Source organism: Homo sapiens, chromosome 5 (genome assembly GCF_000001405.40).
Source record: "Homo sapiens chromosome 5, GRCh38.p14 Primary Assembly".
Classification (NCBI taxonomy): domain Eukaryota; kingdom Metazoa; phylum Chordata; class Mammalia; order Primates; family Hominidae; genus Homo; species Homo sapiens.
Window position 1 is genome coordinate 74,341,165 of NC_000005.10, and position 23,994 is coordinate 74,365,158.

At 43.2% G+C, this 23,994-nt stretch overlaps 1 long non-coding RNA gene across 5 annotated transcripts in view; it reads right to left on the reverse strand.

Moving 5' to 3' along the window:
- LINC01331 (long intergenic non-protein coding RNA 1331) overlaps nucleotides 1-23,994 on the reverse strand; it is a 209,330-nt gene that overhangs the window by 13,721 nt on the left and 171,615 nt on the right. Inside the window, exon 3 of one of the 5 annotated variants that reach the window (NR_197437.1) lies at nucleotides 12,357-12,466. The exons of the other annotated variants lie outside the window; for them this stretch is intronic. This is a non-coding gene — a long non-coding RNA (long intergenic non-protein coding RNA 1331). The remainder of the gene's footprint in view (nucleotides 1-12,356; nucleotides 12,467-23,994) is intronic. 5 annotated transcript variants of the gene reach the window in all.

Genomic DNA, 23,994 nt, shown 5'->3' on the forward strand with positions numbered 1-23,994 from the left:
ACAAATTGCAATTTGCAGTATCAGACCTTAGAAAGCTTTGGACCACATAATAAATGCAAGATTTGACAAACATGAATCATGTTCTTTCTTCTCCTCTCCACTTTAGGCAGAGCTATTTTGTGTTTTTTGTGGTCTTGCCTTTGAGTATGACCAGGGGCAACAAGTTAAATGCTTGCCATCTCAGACTACCGGGGGAAGGGCTCCTCCCCAGTCACCAATGTGAGTGGCATAATGAGAGCTAAGGATAGCCCGGGGCCATGGGACTGCTACACAGCAGAGCCTTCCTTGAGTTTGTCTCCTCTGGAGGCATGTCCTTGACAATCTTCATAGCAACAAAACAGGTCAGTGAGGAAGGGAGAGAGCAACTGAAGGCTTCCTCTCCTTCCATAGCTAGCAGAGCAACAGGCATCCTTACTATTATTTTCATTTTTATCCATTTACCTAGTCAAAACACATAGGAAGAGAATAAGCATCTTCAGAATAACAAAAATGTATTAGTTAGGGTTAGGTTCCTCTGCATATAACAGTAGCTTACATAAGTGACTTAATGATATACAAATTTATTTTTCCCCACATAAAAGAGGTCTTGAGGTGGGCAGCCCCGAGGTGTAATGGAAGTTCCACAGTTACTGAAAACCAGGTGCTTTTTTATCTTTCTTTGCCATATACTTAACATATGGCTTTCATCCTCAAGGTCACCTCATGGTCCAAGATAGCTGTTGGAATGCCAGCCATCATTTCTGCTTTCTAGGAGAGAACCAGGAAAAACGGAAAGGCAAAACATGTAGCTCTCCCGGTTGAGGCAGCATTCTTGAAGATTTCTGGAAACCCAACAAACAACTCCTACTTACAGGAGGCTAGGAAATATGTCTCTGTATCTAGGCCCATCACCAACCAGAATACAATCAGAACCTGTGAGTGAGGAAGGAGAGAATCAATACTATGTAGGCATCCAGCAGTCTCTGCTCCAAGCGAGGTGCCAGCCCCTGAGCTAAGAACTTTATATACATAGCCCTGCTTCTTCCTCAAAATACCTCCACTAGCCACAGGCCATCAGAGCTACAGAAGTCTCAGGAATTATTAATCCACCAACCCAATTTTATTTTAACTAACGTTTGAGTAGAGCTTTAGCATTTACAGAACTATGCCCCAGATCTCACTGAATTCTCAAAAACACTCCCTTAAGGTAAATATTATCTTAACTTGATTTTCCCGTGCAGGAAGTTGAAATCTAGAAAGATTTCAGTGGTTGGCTCAAAGTCACATAGCTAATTAGAGGCAAAACTGGTACTAGCACTCAGATCTCCTGATACCTAGCCCATCTTCCTTCCTTTCTTTCTCCTTCCTTCCTTCATTCCTTGCTTCTTTCTTTCCTTCCTTCCTTCCTTTCTTTCTTTTTCTTTCCCTTTCTTTCCTTCCTTCCTTCTTTTTTTCTTAGAGATGAAAGATACAGAAAAGTTCAGAGATTATTATAAATGTCAAACCACTATCAACAAATGCTGATGTTTTTGTCATTTTGCTTCAGAACTTTTTACTTTTAGATTTAAAAAAATTACTGAGAAGACTGAAATCCATTTTGTATTCCTCATCAATCACATTCCCCTTCCTCTCCAGAAATAATCAATATCATGAATTTGATGTGTATCTCCCTGGTCCATATTTCTCTTTTAATTTCTCACATGCATTCATAAATAATATAAATTGATCTTTTTGAAGCCTTTCTTTTTCACTCAACAATTGTTTTTGAACTTTATCCAGGTTATTGCATACAGTTCATTCATTCTAATTGCTATGGGATGTTCTATCCATAAATATACAGTACATTTTATTTGTCCATTTCTATTTTCCTTCTACATATATTGAGAGCTTATTATGTGCCAGGAAGTATTCTAAAAGCTTTTTGTGTATTATCTCAATCATCATAACAAGTCCACGAGGAAGAGATTGTTATAATCCCTGGTGTATATAAGGAAGAAACTAAAGCAAGACAGAAATAGGAATCAGCCCAAGGTTTCACAGCTCTTAAGCCACAGAGCTAGAATTCAACACCAGAAGATCTGAATCCAGAATCCCGTCCCTTGACTTCTACTCTAAATAACCCAGGCAAACTCAGGCATCCTCACCAGTACAGCCATTCCTGTTATTAAAATATTGCCCAAAACACTCTGCCCGGATCTGGCAGGACCCTGCCCCACTCTATGACCAGCATATGTTCTGATTGGCTGGTGCCTGCCTGTACCTATTTTATTGCTAAATATTTTGAAAACCACTCCTATTCTGTACTGACTAGACACTTGGGTTGTTTCCAATTCTTCGCCTCTACAAACAAGAAGACCTAGGGGTAGAAATGCTGAGTCATACATTATACCTATCAAAGATTTTACTAAAAACTGCTGATTGCTCTCGAAAGTTGACTACATTCATGAAATATACTAATAAGCTAATGTAAACTCCCATTTCTCACCAGTATTTTATGTCATTAACCATTTTGATTTTGCCAGTTTGTTGGGAATAAAAGTGTATCTCCTTGTCTTTATTTGCATTTTGCTGATTACTAATAAGGTAGAAAGTTTTTTTAATGTGTTTATTTGCCATTTGGATTTATTCTGGTTTGAATTGTCTTTCTCTGCTCTTTGCTTTTTTTTAAAGTGGCTTCTTCTTTTATGTATTATCTCTTTTTTTTCGAATGTGTATATTTTCCTTTGTTTTTTTTCTTTCCAACTTTTAGGGTCAAGGGGTAAATGTGCAGGTTTCTTACATGGGTATATTGTGTGTCACAGGGGTTTGGTATACAGATAATTTTGTCACCCAGGTAGTCATCATAGTACCCAGTAAGTAGTTTACCTGCCCTCCCCCTCCCACCAACCTCTTCCTTTATATGGTTTGGACATTAATCCTTTGCCTATAATACCTGGTACAAATTCTCCCCCTGCCTCATCTTTCCTGTTTTAATTTTAAACTTTATATACTCAAATGGATAAATATTTTTCTTTATAGGATACACTTATTGGTATTTTAAAGAGTTTTCTCACTCTAGAAATAGTGAAGAAATCCGGTATTTTGTTCTTATTATTTTATAACTTTGTTTCTTATGTTTATTTTTGTGTGTGGTATGAGAAAGGAATCCAGCAATTTTCTTCTCCCTGGAAATTGTTCCAACATCATTAATTTAGTAAGTCATCTTTTCCCCACTGATTTTTAGTACCACTTTGAACACACATATCCAAGTAACCTATGTGTACTGATCTGTTTCTCAGTCTTCTATGCTATTTCATCAATTTGTTTTTCTCTTCTCGGTATTCTTTCAGTTTAATTCTCTGGCTTAAAAATAATGCATGCTAGAGCCTGATGCCTTCTATCTACTCATACAATTCCTGTTGCCCTGATGCTGCACACAAGCCTAAAAGTTTGTTAAGTGTCTGACAGTTCTTCAGGAAGGGAAGCTAGAAGGCATATGGTCTCTTTGATTTCCACATCGGAGATTCCACTTGCGTGACTGAGAGATCTACCTGTTTAGAGTGCATTCCTCTGCAGTAGAAGGAAGAATAAATTCTTTTTTTTCTAAGATTTTTTTTTTATTATTATACTTTAAGTTCTAGGGTACATGTGCACAACATGCAGGTTTCTTACATATGTATACATGTGCCATGTTGGTGTGCTGCACCCATTAACTCATCATTTACATTAGGTATATCTCCTAATGCTATCCCTCCCCCCTCCCCCCACCCCACAACAGGCCCCAGTGTGTGATGTTCCCCTTCCTGTGGCCAAGTATTCTCATTGTTCAATTTCCACCTATGACTGAGAACATGCGGTGCTTGGTTTTTCGTCCTTGTGATAGTTTGCTGAGAATGATGGTTTCCAGCTTCATCCACGTCCCTACAAATGACATGAACTCATCCTTTTTTACGGCTGCATAGTATTCCACGGTGTATACGTGCCACATTTTCTTTTTTTGTTTTATTTTATTATTATTATACTTTAAGTTTTAGGGTACATGTGCACAATGTGCAGGTTAGTTACTTATGTATACATGTGCCATGCTGGTGTGCTGCACCCATTAACTCATCATTTAGCATTAGGTATATCTCCTAATGCTATCCCTCCCTACTCCCCCCACCCAACAACAGTCCCCACAGTCTGATGTTCCCCTTCCTGTGTCCATGTGTTCTCATTGTTCAATTCCCACCTATGAGTGAGAACATGCGGTGTTTGGTTTTTTGTCCTTGCGATAGTTTACTGAGAAGGATGATTTCCAATTTCATCCATGTCCCTACAAAGGACATGAACTCATCATTTTTTATGGCTACATAGTATTCCATGGTGTATATATGCCACATTTTCTTAATCCAGTCTATCGTTGTTGCACATTTGGCTTGGTTCCAAGTCTTTGCTATTGTGAATAGTGCCGCAATAAACATACGTGTGCATGTGTCTTTATAGCAGCATGATTTATAGTCTTTTGGGTATATACCCAGTAATGGGATGGCTGGGTCAAATGGTATTTCTAGTTCTAGATCCCTGAGGAATTGCCACCTGACTTCCACAATGGTTGAACTAGTTTACAGTCCCACCAACAGTGTAAAAGTGTTCCTATTTCTCCACATCCTCTCCAGCACCTGTTGTTTCCTGACTTTTTAATGATCACCATTCTAACCGGTGTGAGATGGTATCTCACTGTGGTTTTGATTTGCATTTCTCTGATGGCCAGTGATGATGAGCATTTTTTCATGTGTCTGTTGGCTGCATAAATGTCTTCTTTTGAAAAGTGTCTGTTCATATCCTTCGCCCACTTTGTGATGGGGTTGGGGTTGTTTTTTTCTTGTAAGTTTGTTTGAGTTCTTTGTAGATTCTGGATATTAGCCCTTTGTCAGATGAGTAGATTGCAAAACTTTTCTACCATTCTGTAAGTTGCCTGTTCACTCTGACGGTAGTTTCTTTTGCTGTGCAGAAGCTCTTTAATTAGATCTCATTTGCCAATTTTGGCTTTTGTTGCCATGGCTTTTGGTGTTTTAGACATGAAGTCCTTGACCATGCCTATGTCCTGAATGGTATTGCCTAGGTTTTCTTGTAGGGTTTTTATGGTTTTAGGTCTAATATTTAAGTCTTTAATCCATCTTGAATTAATTTTCGTATAAGGTGTAAAAGGGATCCAGTTTCAGCTTTCTACATATGGCTAGCCAGTTTTCCCAGCACCATTTATTAAATAGGGAATCCTTTCCCCGTTTCTTGTTTTTGTCAGGTTTGTCAAAAATCAGATGGTTGTAGATGTGTGGTATTATTTCTGAGGGCTCTGTTCTGTTCCATTGGTCTGTATCTCTGTTTTGGTACCAGTACCATGCTGTTTTGGTTACTGTAGCCTTGTAGTATAGTTTGAAGTCAGGTAGCGTGATACCTCCACCTTTGTTCTTTTGGCTTAGGATTGACTTGGCAATGCGGGCTCTTTTTTGGTTCCATATGAACTTTAAAGTAGTTTTTTCCAATTCTGTGAAGAAAGTCATTGGTAGCTTGATGGGGATGGCATTGAATCTATAAATTACCTTGGGCAGTATGGCCATTTCTACGATATTGATTCTTCCTATCCATGAGCATGGAATGTTCTTCCATTTGATTGTGTCCTCTTTTATTTCACTGAGCAGTGGTTTGTAGTTCTCCTTGAAGAGATCCTTCACATCCCTTGTAAGTTGGATTCCTATGTATTTTATTCTCTTTGAAGCAATCGTGAATGGGAGTTCACTCATGATTTGGCTCTCTGTTTGTCTGTTATTGGTGTATAAGAATGCTTGTGATTTTTGCCCATTGATTTTGTATCCTGAGACTTTGCTGAAGTTGCTTATCAGCTTAAGGAGATTTTGGGCTGAGACGATGGGGTTTTCTAGATATACAATCATGGCATCTGGAAACAGTGACAATTTGACTTCCTCTTTTCCTAATTGAATACCATTTGTTTCTTTCTCCTGCCTGATTGCCCTGGCCTAGAAGTGGTGAGAAAGGGCATCCCTGTCTTGTGCCAGTTTTCAAAGGGAATGCTTCCAGTTTTTGCCCATTCAGTATGATATTGGCTGTGGGTTTGTCATAAATAGCTCTTATTATTTTGAGATACGTTGCATCAATACCTAATTTATTGAGAGTTTTTAGCATGAAGGGCTGTTGAATTTTGTCAAATGCCTTTTCTGCATCTATTGAGATAATCATGTGGTTTTTGTCATTGGTTCTGTTTATATGCTGGATTACATTTATTGATTTGCGTATGTTGAACCAGCCTTGCATCCCAGGGATGAAGCCCACTTGATCATGGTGGATAAGCTTTTTGATGTGCTGCTGGATTCAGTTTGCCAGTATTTTATTGAGGATTTTTGCATTGATGTTCATCAAGGATATTGGTCTAAAATTCTCTTTTTTTGTTGTGACTCTGCCAGGCTTTGGTATCAAGATGATGCTGGCCTCATAAAATGAGTTAGGGAGGATTCCCTCTTTTTCTATTGATTGGAATAGTTTCAGAAGGAATGGTACCAGCTCCTCCTTGTACCTCTGGTAGAATTCAGCTGTGAATACGTCTGGTCTTGGACTTTTTTTGGTTGGTAAGCTATTAATTCTTGCCTCAATTTCAGAGCCTATTATTGGTCTATTCAGAGATTCAACTTCTTCCTGGTTTAGTCTTGGGAGGGTGTATTTGTCCAGGAATTTATCTATTTCTTCTAGATCTTCTAGTTTATTTGTGTAGAGGTGTTTATACTATTCTCTGATGGTAGTTTGTATTTCTGTGGGATCGGTGTTGATATCCCCTTTATCATTTTGTATTGTGTCTATTTGATTCTTCTCTCTTTTCTTCTTTATTAGTCTTGCTAGCGGTCTATCAATTTTGTTGATCTTTTCAAAAAACCAGCTCCTAGATTCATTGATTTTTTTGAAGGATTTTTTGTGTCTCTATCTCCTTCCGTTCTGCTCTGATTTTAGTTATTTCTTGCCTTCTGCTAGCTTTTGAATGTGTTTGCTCTTGCTTCTCTAGTTCTTTTAATTATGATGTGAGGGTGTCAGTTTTAGATCTTTCCTGCTTTCTCTTGTGGGCATTTAGTACTATAAATTTCCCTCTACACACTGCTTTGAATGTGTCCCAGAGATTCTGATATGTTGTGTCTTTGTTCTCATTTGTTTCAAAGAACATCTTTATTTCTGCCTTCATTTTGTTATGTACCCAGTAGTCATTCAGGAGCAGGTTGTTCAGTTTCCATGTAGTTGCATGGTTTTGAGTGAGTTTCTTAATCGTGAGTTCTAGTTTGATTGCACTGTGGTCTGACAGATAGTTTGTTATAATTTCTGTTCTTTTACATTTGCTGAGGAGTGCTTTACTTCCAACTATGTGGTCAATTTTGGAATAAGTGCAATGTGGTGCTGAGAAGAATGTATATTCTGTTGATTTGGGGTGGAGAGTTCTGTAGATGTCTATTAGGTCTGCTTGGTGTAGAGCTGAGTTCAATTCCTGGATATCCTTGTTAACTTTCTGTCTCGTTGATCTGTCTAATGTTGACAGTGGTGTGTTAAAGTCTCCCATTATTATTGTGTGGGAGTCTAAGTCTCTTTGTAGGTCACTCCGGACTTGCTTTATGAATCTGGGTGCTCCTGTATTGGGTGCATGTATATTTAGGATAGTTTGCTCTTCTTGTTGAATTGATCCCTTTATCATTATGTAATGGCCTTCTTTGTCTCTTTTGATCTTTGTTGGTTTAAAGTCTGTTTTATCCGAGACTAGGACTGCAACCCCTGCCTATTTTGTTTTCCATTTGCTTGGTAGATCTTCCTCCATCCTTTTATTTTGAGCCTATGTGTGTCTCTGCACGTGAGATGGGTCTCCTGAATATGGCACACTGATGGGTCTTGACTCTTTATCCAATTTGCCAGTCTGTGTCTTTTAATTGGAGCATTTAGCCCATTTACATTTAAGGTTAATATTGTTATGTGTGAATTTGATCCTGTCATTATGATGTTAGCTGGTTGTTTTGCTCATTAGTTATGCAGTTTCTTCCTAGCATCAATGGTCTTTACAATTTAGCCTGTTTTTGCAGTGGCTGATATCAGTTGTTCCTTTCCATGTTTAGTGCTTCCTTCAGGAGCTCTTTTAGGGCAGGCCTGGTGGAGACAAAATCTCTCAGCATTTGCTTGTCTGTAAAGGATTTTATTTCTCCTTCACTTATGAAGCTTAGTTTGGCTGGATATGAAATTCTGGGTTGAAAATTCTTTTCTTTAAGAATGTTAAATATTGGCCCCCACTCCTTTCTGGCTTGTAGAGTTTCTGCTGAGACATCTGCTGCTAGTCTGATGGGCTTCCCTTTGTGGGTAACCCGACCTTTCTCTCTGGCTGCCCTTAACATTTTTTCCTTCATTTCAACTTTGGTGAATCTGACAATTATGTTTCTTGGAGTTGCTCTACTCGAGGAGTATCTTTGTGGCGTTCTCTGTAATTCCTGAATTTGAATGTTGGCCTGCCCTGCTAGGTTAGGGAAGTTCTCCTGGATAATATCCTGCAGAGTGTTTTCCAACTTGGTTCCATTCTCCCCGTCACTTTCAGATACGCCAATCAGACGTAGATTTGGTCTTTTCACATAGTCCCATATTTCTTGGAGGCTTTGTTTGTTTCTTTTTATTCTTTTTTCTCTAAACTTCTCTTCTCGCTTCATTTCATTCATTTGATCTTCAATCACTGATACCTTTTCTTCCAGTTGATCAAATCGGCTACTGAAGCTTGTGCATTCATCATGTAGTTCTCGTGCCATGATTTTCAGCTCCATCAGGTCATTTAAGGACTTCTCTACACTGGTTACTCTAGTTAGCCTTTCGTCTAATCTTTTTTCAAGGTTTTTAGCTTCTTTGTGATGGGTTTGAAGTTCCTCTTTTAGCTTGGAGAAGTTTGATCTTCTGAAGCCTTCTTCTCTCAACTCGTCAAACTCATTCTCCATCCAGCTTTGTTCCGTTGCTGGTGAAGAGCTACGTTCCTTTGGAGGGGGAGAAGCACTCTGATTTTTAGAATTTTCAGCTTTTCTGCTCTGTTTTTTCCCCATCTTTGTGGTTTTATCTACCTTTGGTCTTTGATGATGGTGACGTACAGATTGTCCTTTCTGTTTGTTAGTTTTCCTTCTAACAGTCAGGACCCTCAGCTGCAGGTCTGTTGGAGTTTCCTGGAGATCCACTCCGGACCCTGTTTGCCTGGGTATCAGCAGCAGAGGCTACAGAACAGCGAATATTACTGAACAGCAAATGTTGCTGCCTGATCCTTCCTCTGGAAGTTTCATCTCAGAGGGGTACCCAGCCGTGTGAGGTGTCAGTCTGCCCCTACTGGGGGGTGCCTCCCAGTTAGGCTACTCGGGGGTCAGGGACCCACTTGAGGAGGCAGTCTGTCCGTTCTCAGATCTCAAACTCCATGCTGGGAGAACCACTACTCTCTTCAAAGCTGTCAGACAGGGACACTTAAGTCTGCAGAGGTTTCTGCTGCCTTTTGTTTGGCTATGCCCTACCCCCAGAGGTGGAGTCTACAGAGACAGGCAGGCCTCCTTGAGCTGTGGTGGGCTCCACCCTGTTCAAGCTTCCCGGCCACTTTGTTTACCTACTCAAGCCTCAGCAATGGCGGGCACCCCCCCACCCCCAGCCTTGCTGCTGCCTTGCAGTTCGATCTCAGACTGCTGTGCTAGCAATGAGTGAGGCTCCGTTGGCGTGGGACCCTCTGAGCCAGGCATGGGATATAATCTCCTGGTGTGCCGTTTGCTAAGACCATTGGAAAAGTGCGGTATTAGGGTGGGAGTGACCTGATTTTCCAGGTGCTGTCTGTCACAGCTTTGCTTGGATAGGAAAGGGAATTCCCTGACCCCTTGTGCTTCCTGGGTGAGGTGATGCCTCACCCTGCTTCGGCTCACTCTTGGTGTGCTGCACCCACTGTCCTGCACCCACTGTCTGACAAGCCCTAGTGAGATGAACCCTGTATCTCAGTTGGAAATGCAGAAATCACCCGTCTTCTGCATCTCTCATGCTGGGAGCTATAGACTGGAGCTGTTCTTATTCAGCCATCTTGGAACTGCCCCCAGGAAGAATAAATTCTAAAGGTAGTGAGTAAGAAGGAATGAGTCCCAGGTTCTGCATCCACACAGATATCCCCACTGCTAACATCCATTCTCTGACATCCAAGTAAATGTCAATGACAGCACATTATTCATAACCATCATTCTTATTAATTTACATTGACCAAGATAACACAGGTATCCAAAAAAGATTGAAAAATAATCAATTCCAGAGCTTAGGCAATAAAGCAAGTTTTAAAATCACATTGCTTTTTGGAAATGATCATATTCATACTATATAATGATCTGCACTCTATAGTACTTTACAGCATTTGGGCATCTGTGTATATCCAAGGTTTAGAGTCTGGCTCTGGGAAAAGCCCCTTCAGCACAGTTATATACACTGTAGGCAGAGAATGTGAGGGTTGATCAGTGTCCTGCATACAACACCCTGAAATAAACCAGGGCACAAAAGAAATAGATCCTGGCCCAGAATGGTGCCTCACATCTATAATCCAAGCACTTTGGGAGATCAAGGCAGGTGGATCACTTGAGCCCAGGAGTTCCAGAACAGCCTGGGCAACATGGAGAAACCCTGTCTCTACAAAAAATATACACACAAAAAATTAGTTGGTTGTGGTGGTGTACACCTGTAGTCCTAGCTACTGGGGAGGCTGAAATGGGAGGATCGCCGAAGCTCAGGAGGTCAATGCTGCAGTGAGCCGTGATTGCGCCACTGCACTCCAGTCTGAGTGAAAGAGTGAGACCTTATCTCAAAAAAATAAATAAAAAGAAAGAAAGAAAGAAATAGATCCCTCACAGCAGTCCTGAGTTTGACTATAGCAGTTATCTCTCCTCTGCCTGAGTATAGACTCAGCCCAGAGACCAGTGGGGATGAGGAGGATGGGGACCGTCTAGGAATCAGTATCTCATAGAACCCAGCTTTTGACCCTCACCTCAACCCAACCATAATGGATAGAAATATGTATCATTATTCTTTGTCAGTATTAAGAAGATCATAGGCAGTCCTGACAAAGTGCTTTTCAGCTCAAACCACCAGCGTTATTTTTCCTATTCTGTAAATCATTAAGTACCTGATCTATAGAATTTTTAAACTCTTGCAAGAGACTCTTGCACGGCAGCTTCAAGAATATGCCACAGTTCAATCAGAAAGCCGTTTTTAATATTAGGATGTATTTTTCCACAGACAATTTGACTCCCAGTGGTGGAATGTGGGGGTGGAGGAGTGAGGAGGAGTAATTCCTAAAACATCTTGACTCTGGTTTTGCCGGAGAGTTTGTATAAAATATGATTATCAAGATACTGATTGCACAGAGCCAACATTACAGATGCACATCTTTTTACTCCATCTCTTTACTCTCTTTTCCCTTTTTCCAAATGAAATTTTACACAAGTAAAGGAAGATCATTTTTGTTAACTCAAGAAATGTAAGGATATTTCTGATTTGTAGCCTCTAATTTCTGTAATTAAAATTATATATTGCTCAGATTAAATTTGAATAGAAAGGCAATCAACTGTATAGCCAAGGATATTTCTTTTTTAAAATGTATTTCTCTCCTGCATTAGAACTGGCATGATTCTTCTGGTCTTCACCAAGCAAAACAATTGTTTTTTAAAAGGAGAATAATTCAGTCTACTCATTCATTTAAAGCAAGAAATTTTGAAGAGGATGAAATGAGAATTCCACAACTCCTTACTTAAAACCATAATTGGAAAATCCCCATAAGATTGTCCTCTGGGTTCACACCTAGGGATCAAATTTCAGGTAAAGCTGTGTTTTAACAAGATTCACCCAATTCTTCCAATAATAAACCACATTGGACAGGTTCCAAGACAAAAATGCCATGTATTGTATTATGCATAATAGCAAGTCATATTTATGCAGGGCCTTGGTATGATTTACAATTGTTTATCAATTTTTATTTCTTTTTATTCTGTTTTTTTTTTTTTGTTTTTTTTTTTTTTTGAGACGGAGTCTCGCTCTGTCGCCCAGGCTGGAGTGCAGTGGCGCAATCTCGGCTCACTGCAAGCTCCGCCTCCCGGGTTCACGCCATTCTCCTGCCTCAGCCTCCCAAGTAGCTGGGACTACAGGCGCCCACCACCACGCCCGGCTAATTTTTTGTATTTTTAGTAGAGACGGGGTTTCACCGTTTTAGCCGGGATGGTCTCGATCTCCTGACCTCGTGATCTGCCCGCCTCGGCCTCCCAAAGTGCTGGGATTACAGGCGTGAGCCACCGCGCCCGGCCTTATTCTGTTTCTTAACATGTGAACCTGACTGGCATGCTTACATCAATTGCTCTTTTTTCTTGCTTTGTTGTGGCTGTGTTTTAATGAAAACTCTTCATCCTGAAAGACATCCAGCTCCATGCCAGATCAATGGAATCTGCAGGTTTTCTTTCTGGAATATAAAACAAGAGCTTGGATTCAACTGGCCAAGAAATATATTTGCTAATGAGGCTTTCCTCAAAGGTCACTCATTCATTCAGCAAGTATTTACTGAGCACCTCTTAGGCTCCAGGCATTGTGCATGTCTGTGAATATAAAAGTGAATGAAGCAGACATATGGCCCCTGACTGTGTGGTGGCTGAAATGCAATGGGGAAGACTGAAACAAGCAAACATCTAATTATACATTGTATTACATTGAGGGAGGAAAAAACAGAATACTGTGATAGAGAATAATGCAGTGCAGAGCACTGCTACTTAGAACAGTTGAGGAAAGCCTCGTGGAAGTCTTTTAAGCCAAGTCCTAATTGATAAGGGAGACCCAACCACTGAAAGAGAGGAGGGGAGTATGTCAGTAGAATAGCAGATGTGAGGGTCTGGCAAAGGGCGTAGACAATCGATGCTCACCATCTTTGCCCACCTACCTGCTGGCCAGCTTCACAGGGCAAGTCCAGTTCATTTCCCCTAAGAAGCCTTCCTGCCCATCCACGCGTGGTCCTCTCTTCCACAACCTCCTCCAGCATTTCAATTGTTCCCCATGACTTACCACTGAGCCATATGCTGGGTTGTATTGTCCTCAGATGGTTCCTGTGGTTAAACCTGTCTCTTTCACAAGTTTTGCAAACCCACTGAAGACAGAGGGCATGTGCCCCTTTTGCACCCCATGCCATGTCTGCTGCAGCACTGGAGCGGAACTGACGCGGGAGGCATTGAAATGAACTGAAGATGGAAGGCCTAGCGGGGCAGGTGAACGGCTGTGGCTAAGCCTCTTTTCTATCTGCATCTGCTCACATTAGACAAAATGCAAATAAATAGGCCCCATCTCTCTCTGTTCTTAGCATTTATATGACACCTTTCAGCACAGAGAAACGAGTAAGTGTAACCAGAAGCGGTTGTTCCATGTGCTCATCCCCAGCTCGGCTGTGGCCAGGCATCTGGTCCCCACCTGCCCCCATACCACTCCTTCCCAGAGGGGCAGCTGTGGACCCCACCACTTCACTTTCAGCAGAGCCTTTCCCATGGAGCCGCACACTGTTGAAAGAACGCATTGTCTGTGCTAAAGGGAGAACGCAGGTAGCACATTGCAAATCTGAGCTGTTACGTGATAGATGAGCAATGAAAAGCGTCCTGACATCATTAAGGTGTTCCAGAACATGCTGTCTGCTCCAGCCTCACCTGCATGCAACCGCATGAAGACAGAATTGCCTGCATGATGACCAAAGCCTGGCTTTGGAGTCAGCAAATTGGGTCATTCCAACCCCACGAGGTTTTTCTAGATTCTGCCAGTTGGGGACAAAGACATTTCATAGAAACTGCTAGACTCACATCTGCAAATGGTCTTAGAGGGTAGGGCTGTCTTCAACCATATGAAAATAGACTTGCCTTTTCACTCTTCCAAGTATTCCCAGAATTTGAAGCTGTCCTTCAGCACTACCTCCTGCCCCACATTCTGGAAGCCCTCTCCCAAGCCCCAGGGCATCCATGTCTGGACAGGGCCCTCTGTAGAACCCACCGCACAACCTCCTGACTTTGCCAGGGCCCAGCACTAACAGGGAGTTGGGGACAGACCACCTGCTGTGTGGCAGAGCAACTTATCTGACATTTATGGGATGAGATTTGTCACGGTCAGAAAGGGCAACTCTTTAAAATTTTTTAAAGAGCATCTCAACCTTTGGCACACTGCCTGGGGAACTAAAAGTAACCTCTTATTCTTCCCTACTGATATTGTGGAATTTCAAGTTTCTACAAAAGAACTTGAGTATCAGTCAGCAAAAGCAGTGGAGTGGCTGGATTTATTCCTCATGGCTCAATCACTCCTAATTTGCCTACAGGAACCTAGTGGTCGTTGAGGTAGAAGAGGATACATCACTCTACAACACACAGGACAACATCCTGGGCTCTATCCTCATGGCAGCAAGCTCATTTTGCCTCCTGTTTCATAGTAAGAGTCACTGTTCACCGAGAGCAGCATGTGTAGTGATTGGAACATGCACTTCAGAGTCAGATTACATGGGTACAAATCCTGGTTCTGTCTCTTACTACCTGTGTGATCTTGAGCAAGTCACGTAGCATCTTGGTTTCCCCGTCTGTAAACCAGAGGGAAATAATAGCTCAGTCAATGAAATATGATGTGGCTCAAATGATGGCAAAAGTCCTCAGTACAGTGTCTGGCATGTAAAGGGGTGTAGTAAATATTCACTATTTATCGCAGACCTACTTACTATGTCACACACTGAATTATGTGCTTTATTTAATTCTGTAATTTAATCCTACAACAACTCTCAAAGGTAGGGCCTATGCTTATAATCACCATGCTATGCTACTCACCTTGTTTCCCTAAGAGAAATATTTTCTTGTCAGTGGCTATTCCCACCTGCAATTTTCCCTTGACAAATTGCTCCAAGACAGGTACTTCCTAAGGGGACGCTTTCTCCATTAGTGAGACAGTAGGGGAAATGGAGGGGCAAACCTTGACCCACCATTACCAAGAAATCACCTGTGGAAGTGAGTCATCTATCTCTCGTCGCTGGGCTGGACTTGATGATTAATGGGAGACATTTAAGATTAATACACTTTCTTGTTTAAGTTTTGAAAATTAAAGATCTTAGAAATGTGAGCCCAGAGAATAAAGAAAAAAGAAGGAAGTAGAACAATATTCTCTTTCTAGTCACCTGCTTTCAAGAACTCAGTCCCTTTAGGCCAGCATTTAGAGAATTGCCTGTCCCCAGCCAGGTCATCTTGCTTTCCTTTTCTCCCTCCTCACCTCCAAAGGGACGTTAGTTCCAGCCAAAGTGCTTATCATAGATCCTCAGCGCAAACAGTTTCCAAGTTACCAAATGGGACCGTGGAACAATTGATTGTACTGGCACAGGCCAACGGTGGGAGATAATAGAGTGACATGTGGGCCCAAGCAGCTATTGTTGCTGCATTTTTCTGTTTGGTTTTGGGTTTTTGGTTTTTTTAAAAGCATGAGTGCACAGGCTGTGCTGGCCTAAGCCCTTGAGATTCTTGAGAAAGAAAAGATACCTCAGCTAGAGTCTTATTGAGGCCAAGTTTCTAACAGCTCAGGCCCAATCCTGTTACCTTAACAGAGCTGACACTACCTCATCCTGAAACGGGCTTTCAGACCCAGCCATCAAGAGCTATCCTTTGGCCCCAAATGTCACTACCAGAGTTAGGCCATTTAAATGAGCATGGCTGACATTTATTGAGCACTTTTCACTGTGATAAAAGGCTTTTCAGGCTTTCATTTAGATCTCAAAACAGATGCATTTTAAAGAGACTTATATTTTCTGATTTCTAGGAATAAGAAGGCAGAAGCCAAGAGATCTTGAGAACCTCACCTATAACTGCACAGCTGGTCAGTGATAGGGCAAGAATCTGAGCCCAGGCCTGTGTCTTTGACCTTAAACCCATTGCCTAAGAATGAGAGGAGACAAAAGGAAAGCACAGGAAGTGGGGGAAAGGATGAAGACAAAAGAAGAAGGTGTGATATAAGACCTAAAGTCAACACCCAATATTACGTGCTGTCTTGACATCTGGCAAAGTATGGCAGGCCCCAAATGGCCTAGATGCAAGTTCCCCTCCTCACTCTGCTTCTGAGGATAAGGTTTTCTAGCCAAACAACACTCTTTATCAGAGGTCAAATAGGGCTGGGCACGGTGGCTTGCACCTGTAGTCCCAGCTACTCAGGAGGTTGAGATGGTAGGATCACTTGAGCCCAGGAGTTCAAGGCTGCAGTGAGCTATGAGCTATGATTGTACCACTGCACTCCAGCCTGGGTGACATCATCTCTAAAAAAAAAAAAGAGAGAGAGACAGAGACCAGGCGTGGTGGCTCACACCTGTAATCCAGCACTTTGGGAGGCTGAGGCAGGCAGATCACAAGGTCAGGAGTTCGAGATCAGCCTAGCCAACATGGCAAAACCCCATCTCTACCAAAAATACAAAAATTAGCCAGGCGTACTGGTGGGCACCTGTAGTCCCAGCTACTTGGGAGGCTGAGGCAGGAGAATCACTTGAACCCGGGAGGCAGAGGTTGCAGTGAGCTGAGATCGTGCCATTGCACTCCAGCCTGGGTGATAAGAGCAAGACTCCATCTCAAAAAAAAAAAAAAAAAAAGCAGCAGCCAGACACAGTTCCTGCTTACCCCTGAGCAGTGGCTTCAGTTCCCTGCCAGACCAAGGAATTATTCAAACAAGGTAAATACATTCTCCCTCACAAACCAGGGGGCACACCACTCTCCTGATGCTACAAAGCTTGCCTCTCTCTGCTTGTTCCCTCCGTTTCCAAGCGCAGCAGCCATGTGGCCTTGCACGGCATGAGGTGTCCTCCTCCCGGGGCTTTGAGCAGACATATGTACCAATAAACCACCGTTCATACCATCTGTCCAGTGTCAGGTATCATGTTTCATTCAGCCATGCCTGCATCCCTAGGATGGGAATCCCTCACTCTTCAAGAGGAGGTGATCAAAACAGAAGAAAAATAGTTAAAGAGGAAAGGATGAAGGATGAATCTGAGGTGACCCACCTGCAGATTCAGCCACAGGGTCTTCCATGTGGGTCCAGAGGCTGTGATGCTGTGGTTAAGAGAGCAGATCTGGAGACAGCCTGGATTTAAATCATTTCTCTACCACCTTCAGGCAAGTTACTTAACCCCTCTGGGCCTTCATCCCTTATCTGTAATGTGGGAATGGATAATAGCCACCATCCATTTGGTGTAAGAATTAAATAAAATCATGCATGTATAGCCCATTGGAGAAGGCCTAGCACTTAGCAAAGGCCCGTTATCTTTAATATCCTAAACCTTCATGCTCTGGGATCACTTTTCCTCCTGAATCTACCAGAGAACCCATTTGCCTTTCCTCCACTGGCCCAGCCAGCTCATCTTTGTGTTTCTGCAGCATTATTTGTGGAGCTGTTGACTGCAATATTCCTTTAAAATGTCTCTAAATTGTGTGCACCAACTTAAGTAAATAACTGAAGGACCTAGTCCTCCTATGCTGCCCAACAAGGAGCGCTAGTTTCAAGCACTCTAAAACTGCCATAGCCTTCACACAACAAGGACAGCAGAGAAAGTCGTTCTTAGAGTTTTCCAAGTGAATAGGCATCAACATTCTGAAAAGCTTCAGCAGAGTCTACTAGGTATTCATGTTTGAATATTTATTCACCAATGAGAGCTCACATTTATTGAGTGTTTATTGTGTGGCAGGCACTATTACAAGCATTTACGTGCATTCACTCTTTTTATTTTCACAGCAATAGATTTGAGGTAAAGTATTGCCCTAATTTTGCAGATGAGGAAATGGAGGCACAGAGGGGTTCACCAATTAATTCAAGTTTCAGAAATTCTGTTTAACTGGTCTAGGGAAAGGGCCCAGGCAGTGGTCTGTTTTCAAAGCACCCTCAGTGGTTCTCAGGTGCTGTTAGGGTCAGAAACGCTTTCGGGAGCCAGCACGCTGATCCTGCGATCCTGTGATCACATCATGCCTTGCATTGTGAACTGTTTCCTCTAAGTGTCTCATGTCTCCAATTACATCATAAATCCCAGGAGTGAAAAGCTAAACAGAAACAATGTCTTCTATTAATCTGGAATCTATTCCTTCAGTACTGACACCACTGGATTTGTCCAGAGTAGGCACTCAGTAAACTTGACATCTACATACTTGGATTGTGCACAGTGATTGGGAACTTCTGCCATTCAAGGCAGGCACTGTTTTAGGTGACTTACATCAATTATTACCTTTATTCTAAGAAGAAGGTGTTACTCTTATTATTCCCATTTTATAGATGGAGAAACAAAGGCACAAATTGCTTATGGACACACGACTAGTAAATGGCAGAGCTTTGAGTTGACCAATCTGGCTCCATAGCATGACCTAATCCAATGTAGTACAGTGGAGGGTGAGGGGAAGGGGAGAGGAAAAACCATAAAGAGGAAGACAAAGTCAACTTGAGAATTCCAAGTTATTTAACTAGTATAGTATCAGTTTGGTAGCACTGCTGTAATTAAGCATCATAGACAGGGTGGGTAAAAAAACAGGAATTCATTATCTCACTGTCCTGGAGGCTAGAAGTCTTTAGGGGACAAGAAATATCTTTTCTTCCCCTCTTGGGTTCATGACTGTGGTGGCCCCTATAACAAAAGACAGATTAACAGGAGAAAAGCGTGGCAAATTTATTTAATATAAGTTTTACACAGCATAACCTTTGGAAATGAAGACCCAAAAAAAGAGGGAAACATCTGTAAAGTTATCCTAAGCTTGGTGAAGAAGTGGATAATTGTGAAGAAGTATGATTGGACAAAGGAGGTGTGACCTAATAGTAATAAATGGGGGGGAAATTTAGCAAGGCCTGTTTGTTCAGATTCGTCTGTGTCCCTGTCCTCAGAGATAAGGATGTTTCTTTCCTCCAGCTATAGGGAGGGCAGCTCTCCCATCAAGTCTTATGACCTGCTGCAGGGGAAGGTCAGAAAATTCTTTCTAGATTTTATGACCTACTTCTGGAGAAAAGGGCTAAGGGAAGGTGATAGTGGCCTTCCTGCTTTTGCTGTTTTCTCAAATGCCAAAGTGTCATATTTGATGTTCAAAGATGTGTGCAGTCTTTGACTTTCCTTAGCACATAGAAGCATCTCCCCAACCTCTGCTTTTGTCTTCCTCATGGTGTTCTTCCTGTGTGTGGGTTTGTCCCCAAATTTCCCCTTTTCATAAGAACACCAGTCATATTGGATTAGAGCCCACCCTAGCGACCTCATTTTAACTTGATCGCCTCTGTAAAGATCCTCTCTCCAAATACATCACATTCTGAGGTACTAGGGGTAGGACTTCAACATATGGATTTGAGGAAGACACAATTCACCCCTCCGCAGAAGTCGGGGTCACATGGTGGGTAGGTTAATAAGCCAGTGCTCCACAGGAGTGGGAAGGAAAACACTCCCAAGACTGGAGGCTGCCAAGAGAACGGCTCCGATGTGTTTAGATGAGGGTGGGTCAAACTTCAGCAGAAGCCAGGGTAGCAAGGCCACACTCAGGCTTCTGCTGGCACCTAGCATGAGTGGTCACCGAATGGCTCCCCTCTTTTCCTGGCAACGCCTGGGCCCCTGGATTGCACAACACTCTCATCAATGAAAACCAATAAGCTGAAAGAAAAACTAAACAACAAAATAAACCACACACATAAAAAAGAGTAACCTTATGTTGTCTGTAAAAAACCTCAAAAAATGCCAACAAGTACTGAGTCAGGAAATTCTCCCCTAATAGCTTTTGTTGGAAACATTTAACATTTCTACTTTATCTCTTCTTTTCTTTCAGACCACTCCTCAGAGGCAATCAAGTGCAACAATACCATCATTCAGGACTTTTGGTTCCCAGAGGACTCACTCTGAGCCTTGGCCAACATACACCCTTATAATATCAGAGCAGCCTTAACTCCCCGAGAGTGGATTTCCTCCAGCCCTTCTGAGCTGAGGGAGAGGAGGATTACATATCTGATACACCAGTTTTGTTGCCATCTGGCCACCAAAAGAGAGCACTGGGTTGATTGTATCCCCTCGGTAGTGACTGCTAAGGAGACACATCCCCAAAACTAACGTTTCAAGTCTGGCAGTGGCCAAGAAATATCAAAGACCCTCTATAAGGGGCCTTTCAATGCCACCCAATAGTAATCTTCACATCCCAGGACAACAGTTCAGTTAAAGACTGGACCACTGGACCCTCACAGGACAAGAATACAGCTAAGAAAGGACCACAGCACAATCTCAGCTGTCCTCGTACCTCAATCTTCCACTTGGAATTCCAGGTCACTCTGTGTCACAGCCTCTCTGTACCAATTGCTACCCCGTGAGGCTAGGATCCCTAAACACCTTCATTGTTTCTGCATTCTGAACCAAACGCGTAAACAGGGAGGCAGAGGAGGGATGTGGCGGGGTGGAGCAGGCAGAGAGAGTGTGCACAGAGAATGCAAGTGATGCACTTTGGTGTGGACAAGCTGATTGCTGGCCTAATTACTATGGGCTCTACCTCAATGAAACACCATCTTTCTGGTCAGAGAAGCAAAGAGATTTTTTTTTTAATGCAGAGCAATAAATAGCAAGGAAAATAGAGGCACATTCCCTTCCTCACCACTCCCAACCGCAAAGGCTCAGCTTACTCCTAAAAGGGGATTCATGAACTTCCAGGCTGGCATTCAGAGAGCCTTAGTCTGGCAAAGTCCATCCTTCCCAAGAGTCAGGTGGAATCAATGAGCCCATTGTTCTCAAGCCTGTGCTGAGAAATAATATGTACAAAACAATAGAGAGCCAATGCCAGAGGTGATCTTTGGCCACAATCATCATGCTAGAATAAATAACGCATCAACATACACTGATTAGGAAATGACATATTAATTGTCCAGACATTGAGAGTGAAGGGATAGGCTGAGCCAGCCACCTTTGCTGTTTTCAGCATGAGCAGAAGGCTTCACTGGAGACACATAAGAAAGGGCAGGGCTCACCCTCCAGACCAAGACCCGAGAGCACAGGGCAGGCAGCAGCCACCAACAAAGGATCCACGCCGGAGGGGCTGGGAAATGGTGTTACGAGCCTCACTCCTGTGAGTTTCACATTTCTCATCGTGAACCATATTAATACATTTATTGCTTGGAAGAGACGGGGAGAAAATGGAGACTTGCTGAGCATCTGTCCACATGCACTTCCTCACTCGCTGTGATCTTCCTAACTCCCTGGGTAGGTACCATCATTCTCGTCCTACAGAAGAGACTAAGAGGAGATAAGTAATTCCTACCTAAGGACCAGTTATCAAATCAATATTCATTTTTCTTGCAAAAAGATGTTCCACTCTGAATTAAGGCCAAGGAAGAACATACCAAGTTTGGTGTTAGGTTATTTGTGAGCACAGAATCTTTGACAGTATAACCTGGTTAATGAACTTGTTAGGGAACAAAAGGAAACAAGTTTATCCTTCCCCCATCCCAAGCTCTGAGAGATTTCACCTCCCCCACTCTCAGCCCCAGGCCCCTCCAATGTCTTGGCTTCACTCCATAGCTTTCTGGGCTGCTTCCACTAACAAGACCTGGTCTCCTTTGGTAGTTAAGAGCCTTTCAGGTATTAACAAGTCTCCTCCAAGAGAATACTTCTCTCTCACTTCATGTTGAAGCTTCCTTCTTCCTGAAACTGAAGGCTGATTCTGCTTGTTCAGAAGTGGGAAGGAGGAATGGTGATTAGGAAGAAGAAGGGGAAGACCGTTCCACATGCCTTGCCTTCACAGGAAGCCCTGTCACTCAGGGTCCCCTGAGACACCCAGGCATCCGTTTGATTGCATCCTCTAGATAGTGACTGCTGAGAAGACACATCCCCATCTCTGGCCGTGGCCAAGAAATACCAAGCACCTTCCATCAGTGCCTCACTTCCCAGGACAAGAGTTCAGTTAAAGACTGGACCACTGGACCTCACACATAGGAAGCTCACACCCCAGCTAGCCCTGAGTTCAGAGTGCGCCAGGCAAGCTCCAGGCTTGAGATTTGCATCCACCCCCAAACTCTCAGGGATGCATGCAAACCTCTCCCAAGGCAGTGGGTGAACCCCTGCTCTTCCGTACATCATGTTCAGCCAGCCAGGGAGCAGAGAGCAGCTTTCCTTCATGCAGGTCCCCCTTACATTGCAAAAGCCAATGAAGGCAAGAGCCAAATGGAGACCAAAATGCCAAATATTGAAATGTTTCAAAGTTACAAGTCAAGTCAAAATTACTATTAAATAAAATAAGTTCTAGCTTCCCACCTTGACAAATATAGCTCCTCAATGGCCTAAAAGGTCAGTTTGCATTTAGAATGTTCGGTCTTCTTGGAATTTGAATCTGAGCTTTTCCTCCCATCCTCAGACCCTGTCACTGGCCGACAAGCTGCTCTGCTTTTCTTCCCACTCCCAAATCCTTTCCACACCATAAGGGCAGTGAGCCACCCAGACTGTACATCCAAGATCCACCCATATCCTTCCCAAACTGCTGCCCAGAGCTGAGCACAGTCCACCTTGGGGGAAGGACCCAAAGCAGATCAGAGCAGGCCCTGGAAAGAGACACATTCTGAAGGCCTGGACACTTGGAACGTGATGGGGAGGCGGAGGCATGGTCTCCAGGAGGACACGTCCCCTTAATCCCACAGGCTCTGGCTCCTGCTTCATGGGGAGGAGTGTGCTGAAGAATTCCAGAGAGGGCCTCTCTCCCAGGAAGAGGGCACGGCAGGGGCCACACCCGAGGGCAGTTCTGATGAGGGTTCTCCTCAGCCCTCCTTCACCTGCCTGAAGGGGGCAACATGGGAAGGGGAGGGCAAATGCCACAGCCCCGTCCCCAAAAGCCCTCAGCTCACCAGTCAGTGATTCCCCTTGCTATGAGTCTGTGTCTCCTGCTAATGTGGACTTCATGGGATAGTGGGCAGGGTGAAGGGCAAAGGGCCTGTTTGGCCTCCCTCTGGAGGGGCTGATTTCTTTATAATATGCAGACACTTACTGCCCACCGCATTCTGCTTTGGGGCTTTAGCCAAAATCCAGAGACCTCCATTTCCCTCGGGGGACAGAATGGACACATAGTTCTAACACGACAAGGATTTCAACCGGGGAGGAGTGTTTCACACGCCCACATTTTAACACCATGAGGAGGGAGAGAGTGAGCGTGCGGTTCACATATGGGCAACTTTAAAAGCAGGCACTATCGTGTGACAAGACTAAACTTAGGGAAACGTGTCTGCAGTGACACAGGGAGAAGACACCAAATTCCCACTGGGGAAGCTCCACGAAGACTTTGGAAGAGAATGTTCATCTGGATCCACTTTTACACTCACAGGAACCTGCTCTTTCTCAAACTTGGCCATTTTGTGAAATGGCTTGGACTTGGACAGCACGGTGCCATCCAAGGCCCTGATGGCAGGAGGCCACTTCCCTTATACCACTGAACTACTTCTGGGTTGGCAGCAGCTACTGTCCCCACCCAGAGTGCCTTCCTTTTGTCTTAGCAGTTGTGAGGCGTGAGGAAGCACTGTCACCTGCCAGGCGCCCAACCTCTCCCGCCTCCACTCAGCATGTTGGGGACCACCTGGCCTGAAGCTATGAGTGGGCTAAGCCCTGCTCTGGTCTCTGGCCAAGAGGGAGTTGAGGAACTTAGGTCTTATGCATCAACACAGAGGAGTGCATAGAGAAAACAGGACCTAATTTGGAATTGGAAGCTCTGAATTTAAGTTCTGATTCAGCTGCTTCTTAGTTGTAAGCTTTTCAGACATCAGTGGATTTTCTGGGCTTTATCTGGAAATTGGAGTTTCTTCATCTGGAAATTGGAGACATTAAGAACATCTGCTTTCCCACCTCAGTGAGGAATGGAATGAACTACTACGGTATCATTTGGAAGCTGTGAATTCTGAATTGTTAGAGTTATGAGTCTTGGCTTTGAATAGGAACACTGTGGTCTTTGTTTATGGTTTATTAATGTCGACTCTCTAGAACCA